Here is a 14,906-nt window from a genome sequence, read left to right on the forward strand (position 1 = left end):
TATTATATAAAATTTTTTTATTTGGCTGAGGTATAACTAAATTATAAATTCTGCTATCTAGAAGCAGATAGAATTGTAGGATAGATAAAATGGATATAAAGTTTCCTTCTAGGCTGACAGGGACCTGGATAAGGGTGTTCTATAACTCACTGAAGACTGAGATACAATTACTTTTACCACAGTTTCTAAGGAGGATCCAAGTATCAGTTATTCTACTCCTAAGCTTCCCTAGAAGTAGGTGTTAAAAACCACTAAGAGTCTGAGATTTGACCCTACTTACGAGCTAACAAGTTTGCCTGCCACGGTTTCATCAATGGTGGCAGCTTTCTTCCAGATATCTCTACCTGAATGTTTAGATGCCTATGGGCATCTAAAACTTAACATCTATGAAATAAATCCCAGCCCTTCTCACTTTGATCCTCTTATCCACCCCAATCTCCTTTTCTTCACTTGGTCTCTGCCTAAGTACAAAGCACTACAATGCACCTAGTTACCAAGACCCAAAGCTTGCAGGCATCCTATTGAATGGGGTACAGTAGTGATGAAGAACACAGGCTCTGAAATCAGACTTCTAAGGTTCAAATCCAGCCTTTCAATTTGTTAGCTGTATGACCTTGTGCAAATTGTTTAACCTCACCCAGACTTAGGTTTTTCATCTGTAAAACTGCACTAAAACATTGGGCTACAAAAGTTTGTTTCACTCTGAGCAATAGTACAAAACTGCTACATGAAGAAAGCTGCTTCGAGACAATCAGGTGGTAGGCCTTAATCAGAATACTTACATGAAAATGTAAGTAAGTAGGAGTGGTCTTAGATGCAAATGTCATAGTTTGTTTGTTTGTTTGTTTTTTGAGATGGAGTCTTGCTCTGTTGCCCAGGCTGGAGTGCAGTGGCATGATCTCAGCTCACAGCAACCTCTGCCTCCCGAGTTCAAGCAATTCTCATGCCTCAGCCTCCCAAGTAGCTGGGACTACAGGCATGCACCACCAAGCCCAGATAATTTTTTAAAAATATATTTTAGTAGAGACAGGGTTTCACCATGTTGCTCAGGCTGGTCTCAAACTCCTGACCTCAGGCAATTCGCCCACCTCAGCCTCCCAATGTGTTAGGATTACAGGCGTGAGCCACCATGCCCGGCCCACAAATGTCATAGTGCTCACGTGGGCTGCCTAGTGCATAGTGTCATAGCTGCTGCCTGTCTAAACTATGTGTGAAAATCAAGGTCACATAGCTAACAAGTAGCAAGGCTGGATTTAAACCTTAGCAGTCTGATTTCAGAGCCTGTGCTCTCTTCATCATTACTATACCCTATTCAATAGGATGACTGTGAGCTTTTGGGCTTGGCAACTGGGTGCACAGTAGTGCTTTGTACTTAGGCACAGAACAAGTGAGGAAAACTTGTTACCCAGAATAAATGAGATAAGGACAGTATCCACACTACTACCAATGTCCAATTAATTTGAAGTTCTACTGATTCCACATCTTTGTACTTCTTTTTTCTGAACTCTCCTTTACAATTCTGATGTGCTTGGAAAAATTTTATAGCATTATGCAAGTACTAAATGCCAGTGAAAGACCAAGTATGACATATTTAGGCTGTCCCTTTTAAGTGCACAGAGAAATTGCCTTACTTAGTTTTCTAGGCAGACTTTTTCTTAAGTATATCAGTTAAAGTTTGCAATAAATCCTGACATTAATTTGGGGCAATATAATTGAGCTCAAGAAAAGCCTTCCTTTAAAAATTCACAATTGTAATTACCATCTACACTAGTAAAATATTATACATAATAAATATTTTATAAACTAGAAATATTCAGAAAGCTAATCTAGTATATTTTAACTCATAACCCTTATAACATATGCCATAAAACTTTCATTTAATATACATTGCATAATCTAAGACAGATATAAAGTAATGTTTTAAAACTCTGAACTGGACGAGGTGAGGTGGCTCATGCCTGTAATCCCAGTACTTTGGGAAGCCTAGGTGGGTGGATCTCTTGAGGCCAGAAGTTCAAGACCAGCCTGGGCAGCATGGGAAAACCCCATCTCTATAAAAAATACAAAAAATTAGCTGGGCATGGTGGTGCATGCCTGTAGTCCCAGCTACTCTGGAGGCCAAGGTGGGAGAATCACCTAAACCTGGGAAGTTGAGGCTGCAGTGAGCCATGTTTGCACCACTGCACTCTACCCTAGGCAATGAGTGAGTCCTTGTTTCACAAACAAACAAACAAATTCTGAACTGAAAATTTAAGGTGGTTATGATAGTTACATTTTTGATTTTGTAATGCTGCATGACTTGTCTTCTTTGATCTTTGATATTGCCTTAGACGCGGATGTAGCAAGAGCTTCTTCAAATTCCAACTGAAAATCAAATGTCAGGGGTATAGCCATAGTTGTTTTTCTTCCTTCACTCTGAAGCCTGTTTATCTGCAGCAATGCCAAAGTGAAAAAAAAAAAAAAAAAAAGAGTACTTTTTATATGGGGAAAATCTTAGGTGGAAAGAAAAAAAATCTCACTTTACACACACACACACACAGAATTTAGGTGGCAGGCAATAATGGAAAAATAGTACAGACTGAAAATTGGGGGTCTAGTGCACCAACTGTTTTTATGCCTTTGCTGTGTGACCTGAGTTGTTCTTTTCCCATCTGTAAAATGTGGGGGTAGGACTTGAGGATTATTAAGGCTCCCTCCTAATTCTAAAGTACAGAATTTAAGGAAAGATCTACATATTTAGATACATAGAGTTCTTGGAACCATAGTAGGCATGTCCCTCCAGCCTGCTCCTCTTCCTGTAGCCACACGCACGATGAATCACACCAATCTTCCTCTAGTCGTGAGAGCCAGAAATAGAGTGAAGAAAGTAATCAAAAGAGGACTTTGTTAAAATCCTTATACAAATGGATTGAAGAAGAAAAAGGATCTAGCTAAAAGGTGAGTAAAGGAGCCGAAAGTTTTCTCTAAAAAATTATCTCAGAGCATAGCTCAAAAGAATAAAGAGATGAAAACCCTGAAAGCAAAATCAAAGGATATGGGGGACTTCTGCTTCTGCCAATAGATGGAGCACTATGGGAATTAGTCTCCTGCTCTCAACAACTAGGAGCTCAGGCAAAATATATGAAAACAACTGCCCCCAGCTATTAGAAAACAGAGTAGGACAGATCGCTGAAAGAAGGGAAATAACTGAGGTCTACCCTCTAATAGCCCAGCTTACTTCCTGGAGGTGGTTTCAGGGCTGAGGTGCAGGGAGGAGAAACCCATTGGATTGGGGGAACTCAAACCAAATCTTGCGGCTTTGATCTCGCTAAAGTTAAGAGAAAGATCGCACCAGCAATCACACTCTCACGCATTTACCTCAGAGAAATGGAAACTCATGTTCATACAAACCTGGATGCAAATGTCCATAGCAGCTTTATTTTATTTTTTAAGCAGCTTTATTTTTACTAGTAAAATCGTCAAAACAATCCAAAAGCCCTTCATGGGATGATTCGTTGAAACTTTGTACATCAGCAATAAAATTTTTATATTTGTATACATTACATTTTCAACTAGTATAATTAGTTGCTTTTTACAAATTAGTTTATATCATATTAATGTATCATTAGCTAAAAAGTAAAATTATTCACATTTGAAATGTTAACCTGTTAATGATTAAACTGAATTGTAGCTTATACGTCACAAACCTTTGTTCTTCTGGCCAAGATTATCTCTGCTTGCTTATCAAGGACATCCAACTTCTCTAGGATTTTTTCTGCCATTGTCAATCACTAAATTCCTATTTTAAAATAAGGAGGAAGAAGAACAAATCAATTCAAATTTAAACATAAAACTAGGCATAAGTTTTCAAAAGACTCACTTTTACATTACTGTTTTAGGTAAATAATAGAATTGTTTAAATCATACAGTAAATCATAGAATTGTAAATGTACCCAAGTTTTTTCAATTGAAGGCTATATGATCAGAACTCCCAGATATGTATAGGCCCCATGAATTTTTAAATTTATGATAAAGGTGAGGGGGAGAAAGTTCACGATTACCATGAGAACCATATGTGACTTATACTTGAAGCAAGACCATGTGGCTTGACTTATATCTATTTTCTTTTTAAATTTTTTTAATTAAAAATATATCAAGCTAGGAGTAGGACTTAATTTTGTCGTTGTTGTTGTTGAGACAGAGTCTTACTCTGTCACCCAGGCTGGAGTGCAGTGGTGTGATCTTGGCTCACTGCAACCTCCACCTCCTGGGTTCAAGTGATTTTCCTGCCTAAGCCTCCTGAGTAGCTGGGATTACAGGTGTGCACCACCATGCCCAGCTACTTTTTGTATTTTTAGTAGAGACAGGGGTTCATCATGTTGGCCAGGCTGGTCTCAAACTCCTGACCTCAAGTGATCCGCCTGTCTCAGCCTCCCAAAATGCTGGGATTACAGGTATGAGCCACCGTGCCTGGCCAGGAGTAGGACTTTGGACATATCTGTTTTCTTTTTGTCATGATATAATTTTAATGAAAGTAAACACAGGGAACTCATATTTATATAATTAATTGCTTCAAATTAAATTGGTCAATGATCCAAGACTGTTAACAGCATGTAGCAGGCAATTAGTCACACATAAGTAGCAGCAACTAAGCTGGTTAGGTCCCATTGCCATAATGGTTCATATTTCCTAGTTAATTAATATTGCTAACCGTCTCATCTGAGGTCAAGCAGTCCATATTAAGCTTAGGGAGCTGTATGAGACATCAGAACCTGGTCTAATTTATTACATCTTCAGATGAGAAAACTGAAGGCCACAGAGTACCCTATTAGTGTAATAGAAATAGCTAGGGCAGAGTGGAGGCAAGAATCCAGGAATATCAACCCAAAGCTCCCTTTATTTATTTATTTATTTATTTATTTATTTATTTATTTATTTATTTATTTTAAAAATTGAGTAGATGGGTCAGGCACAGTGGCTTATGCCTGTAATCCCAGCACTTTGGGAGGCCGAGGCGGGCAGATCACTTGAGGTCAGGAGTTCAAGACCAGCCTGGCCAACATACTGAAACCCTGTCTCTACTAAAAATACAAAAATTAGCTGTGCGTGGTGCCACATGCTTGTAATCCCAGCGATTTGGGAGGCTGAGGAGGGATCGCTTGAACCCAGGAGGCAGAGGTTGCAGTGAGCCAAGATGGCACGCCACTGTGCTCCAGCCTGGGTGACAGAGTAAGACTCTGTCTCAAAAAGAAAAAAAAAATTGTGTAGATGACCATGCATTCAGTATACTTTTGCTCACTGAATTAAATGGGCTCCAGTGGCATTTAAGTGTAAAAGTGATATCGTTCACAGAAAGTACAGAATCATCAATGTTTTCAATGAATATTAATGTTAATACTAAGGTTCTTTCCAGCTCAGAAAAATCTCTGATATTTCTCCTATATTGTATATTATTCCAGCAATGCCACATGGAGACAACAGTTCATGAAAGGAGAAAGATTCAGGATCCGATGCCAAAAGTTTACATTATTTTGTAATTGGTTTCCTTCAGCTTTTTTTTTACTCTTTTTTCCTTCACCATACATTGCCCTGAGTATGATTTCTTCATGTACTGAATGACATCCCATCCCAGCATGCCCTCTATCACGTCACTACATCCAGATTTTCCCTCCATCACACGATGTAGTCCAGTGTGATAAATAAAGTATACAGACATGCTGGGTGTGGTGGTGTGTGCCTATAATCCCAGCTACCTGGGAGGCTGATGCAGGAGGATTGCTTGACCCTAGGAGTTTGAGACCACTCTGGGCAACATAGCAAGACCTCATCTCATGAAGAAAAAAAAAAAGTAGCCAGGCACAGTAGCATGCATCTATAGTCCCAGCTGCTGGGGAGGCTGAGGTGGGAGAATCAAAAGGATCATTTGAGTCCAGGAGTTTGAGGCTGCAGTGAGCTATGATCATGCTTCTGCACCCCGGCTTGGGTGACAGAGCAAGACCCCATTTCTTTAAAAAAAATTACACAGAGGAAATTCTGGGCCATGGGGGTGCAAGCAGATAGCCTGCCTTGTGACGAACCACACAACCTCAGGTTGCACACTGGGAAGGGGAGATCCAGGATTGTGAAAGCTGATCATATGAAATGGGTCACTCTTGTGGTACCTAACTAAAACACAGTGAGAAGCCAGGGTAAGAGAAAACACTCAGGGCACAGAACATCGCTCCAAAAATGCAGTCCCTCTGCAAGTCTGGCAGCTGAAATTGACTGCTGTGACCTAAACCAGTTGTATCTAATAGCTACTGAAAAGACCTGTGGCAACTCTAAACCAATTTTGCCCACAGCCTTCACTTACCAATCTTGTCAGTGCCTCAAAACCTCACTAGTGCCAATTTGTAACATTTCCTGGTTTTATAAAACCTCTAACCTATTCTTTGTTCTTCAGAATATACTGAAGACTACTGCTCTGTGTGTATGCCCTAATTGCAATTATTTCCTCCCAAATAAATATTTTGATTTTAGAGATTAGTCTCTATATTTTATTTGACATTGACAGGGTAAAGGCATTAGCATAATGTGAATGCTGATGACTTTCTGGATTTCTTACAGGACAATAGGGGACAGATTTTGAAAGAGAACATACATTATGATTATGTGGACATATTTTCTTTTCAGACCCAAGAAACATCCCTCTTGTAAAACTAAACTAAACTAAAACTCTCCGAGGAGTTTTAGCTTTTGTGTTTCCCTTAAACATAATATGAGTTCAAGAGGGGGAGAAGGCTTTCATATTCCCCACCTAAGTTTATTTTACTGGAGACAAAGATTTCTATTTTTCAGCAAGACACAGGTAAATAACTGGAAGAATCAATGTATTGAAGTGAATGAGTTTCCCAGTTTGGGGAACGTATAAACTACATGAGGGCCAGCTGAAACAATGCTGCTCATTTGTGAGAAAGAACAGAAAGCAGATCTTTTTACAGTAAGGTGTCCTACACCTCTCACTTTTAGTCACCCCATCTTCAACACCACATAGGACATTTTAAGAGGCAAAATGTCATCCCATTATACACACACACATACGCACATGCACGCACATGCACACACAGCTGTATTTTTCTATATACAGTTAACCATAGCATGAAATAATTTTTATGTTTTTGCTTTAAAAATAGTTTGCTAAGAGTAAATTATTTGGCTATGAATGATTTCTGGAAAATCACTGTGCAGATCATGAATTTTTTTGAAGTGAGAAAAACTAACCAATTATTTTCAAGGGTCAACAACAGTTTTATGAATACTAAATTTGCCGGTTAATGAAATTGACTGAATGTTAGTTTTGTAGTATTAATTTCATATTTTGAAACTAATACAATTTTTTCAGTTTGCAAATTCTTTTCTCCCATCGGTCTTTGGCAATGTGCCAATGGTGCCTAATGGATAAATGGCCCTGGGAAAAAGTGGAGGTGAGGAAACACTATAGATTAACTTGCTTGCTTTCATCATTATATTTCATAAGTTCATCAAGGGCCTATTTTGTGTCTCCTCAAATAAATGCTGAGAGCAAAGGAACATCAGTACTAATATGATGGTGTTCCCCAACTACTTTGCATAAACTAACTACTAATCTTTTAATGCAAAATGAATCAAGACGATATTAAATGGGCTGGGCGCAGTGGCTCATACCTGTAATCCCAGCACTTTGGGAGGCTGAGGCAGGCGGGTCACTTGAGGTCAGGAGTTTGAGACCAGGCTGGCCAACATGATGAAATCTATTAAAAAAAGAAAAATACAAAAAAAGAAAAGAAAATTAGCTGGGCATGGTGGTGCATGTTTGTAATCCTAGCTACTCTGGAGGCTTAGGCAGGAGAATCCCATGAACCCGGGAGATGGAGGTTGCAGTGAGCCAAGATCACACTACTGCACTCCAGCCTAGGTGACAGAGTGAGACTCCTTCTCAAAAACCAAAAACAAACAAACGCAATGCCATCAGAGCTGTCTTTCTTAAACAGGACACTGATCAGGACCAGTTCCAGCCCACAAACCTTGGCTTGCTCTCATAACCTGAAGAATACCCAAACTCTTCAGATGACATATGAGACCATCCAAGAAAAGATAGTCCAGGATCTGGCTCAGCCCACCTTTCTAGTTTATTCCTCCTTCCCCTTTCTGTTCCACCATTTTCTACCACTCTTACTTCCTGGACACGTCCTGCCCTTTTCTCAAGCACACCATTCACTCCTGCATTTCCTTCTACTCAGAATGTTCTCCCACATGTCTTCCAGTCAAAAGCCTACTCTTTATGAAATATGGTATGAAGACTACCTCTTCTTTTTTTTTTTTTTTTTTTTTGAGATGGAGTCTCGCAGTCTAGGCTGGAGTGCGGTGGCACAATCTTGGCTCACTGCAACTTCCACCTCCCGGGTTCAAGTGATTCTCCTGCCTCAGCCTCCTGAGTAGCTGGGATTACAGGTGCCCGCCACCACACGCAGCTAATTTTTGTATTTTTGGTAGAGATGGGGTTTCACCATATTGGCCAGGCTGGTCTCAAACTCCTGACCTTGTGATCCGCCCACCTCGGCCTCCCAAAGTTCTGGGATTACAGTGCCCAGTCATGACTACCTCTTCTATGAAACTTTCCTTGGCATTGTCTCATTCCTTGTCTCGGTGACAGTCTATTTATTGTGTGCTCCTGGCCTCAAGCAATCCTCCAGCCTCTCAGCCTCCTGAGTAGCTGGGATTACAGGCAAGAGCCACTACACCAGGTTTTAAGAGGTTTACTCGCTGGGCGTGGTGGCTCACATCTGTAATCCCAGCACTTCAGGAAGCTGAGGCAGGTGGATCACTTCAAGTCAGGAGTCGAGACCTGCCTGGCCAACATGGTGAAACCCTGTGTCTACTAAAAATACAAAAAAAAATTAGCTGGTCATGGTGGCGCACGCCTGTAATCCCAGCTACTTTGGAGGTTGAGGCAGGAGAATAACCTGAACCCAGGTGGCGGAGGTTGCAGTGAGGTGTGATCGTGCCACTGCACTCCAGCCTGGGTGACGAGCGAGTCTCCATTTCAAAAAAAAAAAAGAGGTTTACTCTTTGACAGATCTCTTCCTTACTGGGTTGAAAGCTCATTTGAAGCAAGAATTGACTTATCCACCTCCGACTCTCAGCCTCAGGCAAAGCGTTTTACATCTAACGGGGATTTGAAAATTACAATTTAATTTGGAGATGTCTCTGAATATAAATTTTTAGGAAGAGTAATCCTAGTTTATCTGTAATAAATGATGTTACTTCATAATGATTTACTGGAAGATGAAATAAAAAGTTGAGTGTATTATTATAAAATGGGGTTATTGCCAATCTAAACTTGGTAAAATTGTTTTGAAAGGAAACTTGGATTTATGTTCTTAATTTCTAGCACAGTAGTGACAGTTTTTTGTTGTTGTTTGTTCGTTTGTTTTTAAAGAACACAATGAAATAGAGGCCATGCCAATTGGGGCAGAATGAATTCCCAATTACTCTCACAGTGAATCATCTACAGGCCTCACTGCAAAAACTTGCTCTCAACAAAAATTGTAGGTCAATATTATTAGCATATCAGAGACTAAGTCATATCTAAAATAAAAATGTCTTAAATATTTTAAGAGAACAATTTTATTTTAACAGCACCTTTGGGACTAAAAACAAACAAACAAAAAATAACAAAACCCAGTGTCGTCAATATAATAGGCTCAGCTGAGAAGAGTTCTTCAGCAAGTTCTAAACAACTCAGGAAAACTAAGAATCTCTAAAGTTACAAACTAAAGGCCTGAGAAATTATCTAGAAAATGCAGGCTTAAATTAAAATTCACTTCCATTATGTGGCTTTATCAGTTCAAATGCTTACTCCTTGAGGACGAGGCCACTTCTTACACTCTTATCTGACACAGTCCACTACTGAGACCACAGTAGGGACTCACTTCATCTGTTAAATGATTAATGTTTACTCAATAATTAGATAACTGGCTGAGTTATCTCCATCTCACATTCCAAGGATAGACTTAGGGGAATCTTTTTTCTTTAAATCTAAAATGTTGATAAATGGCCCATATTATAGGCTGAATTATGTTGCCCCTAAATTCGTATGTTGAAGTCCTAGGCCCCAGGATCTCAGACTGTGATTGTATTTGGACATACAGCATTTAAAGAGTAAAGTTAAAATGGGGTTGTTAGGGTAGGCCTCTGGCCAGTATGACTGGTGTCATATAAGAAGAGGAGATTGGGACACCGAGGATACACAGAGGAAAGTCGTTGTGAAGATTCAGTGAGAAGGCAGCCACCACCCCAAGCCAAGGAGCGAGGCCTCTGAAGAAAACAACCCTGCCCACCTCTCCATTTCCAACTTTTAGTGTCTAGAACTGTAAGAAAACAAATTTCTGTTGTTTAGCCACTCTGTCTATGATGTTTTGTCATGACAGTCCCAGCAAGCTAGTACAGCCCAGGCACTGAGAACTAATTTAAAAACCCGACCTATGTGCTTAGTTCCGCATTATGCATTTTCTTGTCCCTTATTTATTTATTTTTATTTTTGAGACGGTCTCACTGATTCTGTCACCCAGGCTGGAGTGCAGTGGCTGCGATCTCAGCTCACTACAACCTCCGCCTCCCAGGTTCAAGCGATTCTCCTGCCTCAGCCTCCCCAGTAGGTGGGACTACAGGCGCCCACCACCATGCCCGGCTAATTTTTGTATTTTTAGTAGAGACGGGGTTTCGCCACTGTGGCCAGGCTGGTCTCTAACTCCTGACCTCAAGTGATCCGCCCGCCTTGGCCTCCCAAAGTGCTGGGATTACAGGCGTAAGCCAACGCGCCGGCCTGGAAGGGAAGTTTCTAAGAAAAACTACTAAGGAATTTTAAAACTATGATGTACGTGGATTGTGGAGTATTATTGTGGGCGACTAATCAGATAATGATTGCAAGAATTGATTAGCCAGCTCGAAATCGCAGCACAATTACCGCAGGGGCGATCAGCTTCCACCATCCATTCCAGGATGTTGGGAGTCGTCAATTTGGAAATGTATCAATTAAGCGGCCCCCAGAGCCTCTCGCATCTCTTGCCCGGCCCCGAGTCACCTTCCCCCAGGTGCCTCCATCTCGCTGGAAACATAGGAAGCCCGACTCAAACGCTCTATGCCTATGGTCGTTTCATGGGAAAGCAAAATTAAGGGCAACATTGAGGAAGCTCATTAATATTTAGTTTAGAAGATGCAAAGGGTTCTTCCGCGAACCTGGAAGAGCCCCCCGGGCTCGCCTCTCGCCGCGGTCCCACACTTGCCTGACCTCAACCACACTCTCCCGGTCCAGGCCCCGCTGGAGAACGTCCCACCGACTCCGGGGACAGAAAGGCCGTTTATGTAAAACGACGTTTTTCCTATTTCGCCTCCCACCCTCATGCAAATTTTGATTTTCAACTCTTCCAACCCTTCCGCACCCTGAAACAAACCTCATCTCCTTTCCTCCCTCTTCTGGCTCCGCGGGTTACTCGCCCCGCCCCCACCCTTCAGTCCCTTAGCAACGCGTCCTCGGTCCGTAGAAACCGGTTGCCGAGCTCTGCCTACCTCTGAAAGGCCTAGAGAGCAGAGTTCTCTTCTCAGAGGGGCTTCGCCCACAGACTTTTGTCACTAAAAGCCCAGGTGACTCCCCAGATGCTTACGGATATTAAAACCGATTATGCTGAAGGAGTGGAAGGAGAGTCAAGTAAAAGAAGAAGATCAAGTAAAAAGAACTGGGGAACAGTGACTTTGTTTCCCCTTATTGTACCTCCTTTCTCCTTTTGTGCTTTCCTGGAAACATCGAATTTCAAAAAGAAGCTTACAAAGTCCACCATACAGCTTGCAGGTCTGAATGGAAGTCAACAGTTTATATTTGAATATTTGATGGAAGATTGCTTTCATGGCTTATGATATTAAAAACAGCAACAACAAAAAACCATTCTTATTTCCAAGGCCAAGAAACCTCCCGTGTGGTTAGTAAAATCACCACTGTATTACGCAAGTTGTGTAGCAGACTTGGCTGCACACACACATACCACTTAGCATTTTTATGAGACATAATGGAGATACACTGACATACATTCTGCTGTATTTACTGTATCCTAAGGAACCATTTGTCCTTATTGCTCACTTGTGTGAGCAGAAAATGCACTAAGGCCATGGGAATCATTTATTTTTAGAGCCATAATCTAAAAATGACTGACTTGAAAACAGCTTGTATTTAATTTAAAATGATGGGGAATTTCACAATATTGGTTACATTTTAAGTCAGGGGTTGTTCATCATTCCAAGAATGTACCTTATCTGATGCATCAAAATAGGGGGAAAAGCTTTAAAAAACAGCACTTCAACATCTGTGAGAAGAAAAGGAAAAAAAGCACCAGAATTAATCATCACAAGTCTGTGCTAGTGGCAATGGCAAAACTGCAAAAAAAAAAAAAAAAAAAAAGTATAGTTATGTAGCAATCCAAATTTGGCTAGAAATTGATATTAATAGTCAATGCATGAAAACACTGGAATCAATTTATTTCAAATATTTAAAAAACAAAAATACAATCATTAAAAGTAGAAGGTAGTTTGATTCTTTTCTGTTGCCCAGACTGGAGCACAGTGGTGTGATCATAGCCCACTGCAGCCTCAATCGCCTGTGCTCAAGTGGTTCTCCCACCTCAGCCTCCCTAGTAGCTAGGACTACAGGTGCATGCCACTATGCCAGGCTAATTTTTTTATTTTTATTTTTTTGTAAGGACAGGGGTCTCACTATGTTGCCCAGGCTAGTCTTGAACTTCTGGTCTCAAGTGATCCTCTTGCCTTGTTCTCCCAAAGTGCTGGGATTACAGATGTGAGTAGCCACTGCGACTGGCCAAGGTAGCTTGATTCTATTATATTTTTTAAGCCATATACATTCAGGAACAATGGTTTGTATGGAATTGATAACTGGAATCTAGTTGATAGTGGTGATTTGTCTAAGATTGTTGTAATACCTTCAGCTCAAAAATTTGTACAGAGGTGAAAATTAGCTTCTTAAGAATTCAGTTCAGAAACGTTAGCTACTCATTAATCTTCAGTCAATAAAATTTGTAAAGCATGAATCTTATGAAATTCTTAGAATATTATCATTATCTCAGTTAATATTTATGGAACACGTTCTGCATGTCAGGTACTAGGCTACAACTTTAAAATAGTTCTAATTTCATCCTTTACTTTTCATTCTTAAACCTTAATTCGTATCTATGGAAAGGGTATTATCTTTGATTTTAGAAAAGACCTGACTGAAATTCAAAGAAACTATGTGATTTGCCCAGCATCTTATAATTAGTAATACAATTATTAATATAACACAAAGTACAAAGTATTTTCTCTTTAATAACAAATGTTTGGTAAATGTACACAAAAAAGAATTCAAGTGGATTTTTTCCTAACTACTTTAATTGCTCTCAGTTAAATTCAGTATTTACTGAATGAGTTCATGAACCTATTATAGATAAATACTGGGTAAAGGAGCCTAATGAATGTTTTATTTTAAAAGTATACAGATTTCTTAAAATATAAACTGTATACTATAAGAAAACAAAGAAAATAAAATCTGCAGACTTTTTCCTGCTTCCTTTGAAGTAGGCCAACTACAAAGTTAGAAAGCACATTCCCCAAAACTGCCCTTACTTCTGACACCAAGTTCAGGGGGCCGTCAAAACCCTGAATAGAACCCTCAGGTTCGATAATTTGCTAGAAAGACTCACAGACCTTACTGAAAGCTATTGTATTTAGGGTTATAGTTTATTACAGGGAAAGGTTACAGATTACAACTAGCCAAGGAAAGAAGTTCACAGGGCAGAGTCAGTCCCGAAATAACAAATGTGGAGCTTTTATTGTCCTCTTCCTGTGGAGTCAGGACAGGTTACTCCCTAGCATTGTTGAATGACAATGCACACATGGAGATCTGCCACCCGGGGAAGCTCACCCAATCATTGTGTTCAGAGTTTGTAGTGGGGCTTCATCACACAGGCATAATCGGTTGATTAACCACATGGTTAATCTCTATCTCCAAGTTGATGGATACCACGTGACCCAAAGCCCTTGCCTTAAGTCACATTGTTGATCTTTCTGGAGTGGCCAGTCCCTACTCTAAGACTATGCAGGTGTGGCCACCTCCCCATCCTAAATCACATTGTTAGACTATCTCATATGACTCAAGGTCTCCAGGCAAATAAAGCTCTTTCTATCAGGCATAACATTCCTAGGGCCCAGAGATTATATCTCAGAAGGCAAGGGCAAAGGCCGGACTTTCTTTTCTTTGGGCAAGAGAGTCTTTCCTATAAATTCTTTACTATATACCTACTAGGTTTAGAAAGTATCAAAATTTGTACTTAATCATCCCCAAATGGTGAAAAGCCTGTGATTCTCCACCCCTGCCTTCTGTCCTCTCTTGAGAAAAGAGCATTTTTTTTCCCTTGCCCTACACAAACCATGAAGCCTGGGAGAAGTGTCAGTATTCTTCACCATTCCTAATGTTCCTTTCACATCTTTAAGTTTCTTCTTCCTTAGGAAAAGCTGCCTCTTCTGAGGTTAATGACAACTATCTCCCCATACATATTTACTAACAAATTCCCAGGCATTTCTCACTTTTACAGATTTGGGGACTTTCCCAATGTTCCTTTCCATAATAAATCCATTAAGCCAATAGTTTTGCCTCAAAACTCATTATCTTTCCAGATTAAAGCTATCTTTACTTCATTATCCCCTAACTCTGAAATATTAAGCTCTAACAGGTCCTCTCTGATCACTACCTGTTATCCCTTCTGCCCATTACTTCTCTTATTCTAGATAATGTGCTAGTTGGTCACTTAATGACCTTCTGTCTCTTTTATTTGTGAATCCAATGGACGTCTTTCAGGTCCTATGTTACT

At 40.2% G+C, this 14,906-nt stretch overlaps 1 protein-coding gene across 10 annotated transcripts in view, besides 1 other annotated feature; it reads right to left on the bottom strand.

Annotated features, from left to right (window-relative positions):
- The window catches only part of C1orf141 (chromosome 1 open reading frame 141), a 49,482-nt gene that overhangs the window by 31,315 nt on the left and 3,261 nt on the right, over positions 1-14,906 (bottom strand). For 5 of the 10 annotated variants that reach the window (XM_011541467.2, XM_017001276.2, XM_047420474.1 and 2 more), the window contains exons 1-3: positions 7,663-7,748; positions 3,687-3,778; positions 2,273-2,430 (exon numbers count right to left, since the gene is read on the bottom strand). In XM_011541467.2, the coding sequence (XP_011539769.1) occupies positions 2,273-2,430; positions 3,687-3,761 (233 nt within the window). In that variant the 5' untranslated portion in view covers positions 3,762-3,778; positions 7,663-7,748. Of the gene's footprint in view, positions 1-2,272; positions 2,431-3,686; positions 3,779-7,662; positions 7,749-11,450; positions 11,492-14,906 lie in introns of those variants that run through there. The other 5 variants (NR_075077.2, NM_001276351.2, NM_001276352.2 and 2 more) reach the window with 3 other exon arrangements.
- Positions 13,724-14,234: an enhancer, noted in NCBI's record as "NANOG hESC enhancer chr1:67602886-67603396 (GRCh37/hg19 assembly coordinates)". NCBI's record gives its function as "activates a minimal SCP1, AML or CMV promoter by ChIP-STARR-seq in primed H9 embryonic stem cells {active_cell/tissue: H9 hESC(primed)}" and the evidence as "EXISTENCE:reporter gene assay evidence [ECO:0000049][PMID:30033119]".

Source organism: Homo sapiens, chromosome 1 (genome assembly GCF_000001405.40).
Source record: "Homo sapiens chromosome 1, GRCh38.p14 Primary Assembly".
In the NCBI taxonomy this organism is placed as follows: Eukaryota; Metazoa; Chordata; class Mammalia; order Primates; family Hominidae; genus Homo; species Homo sapiens.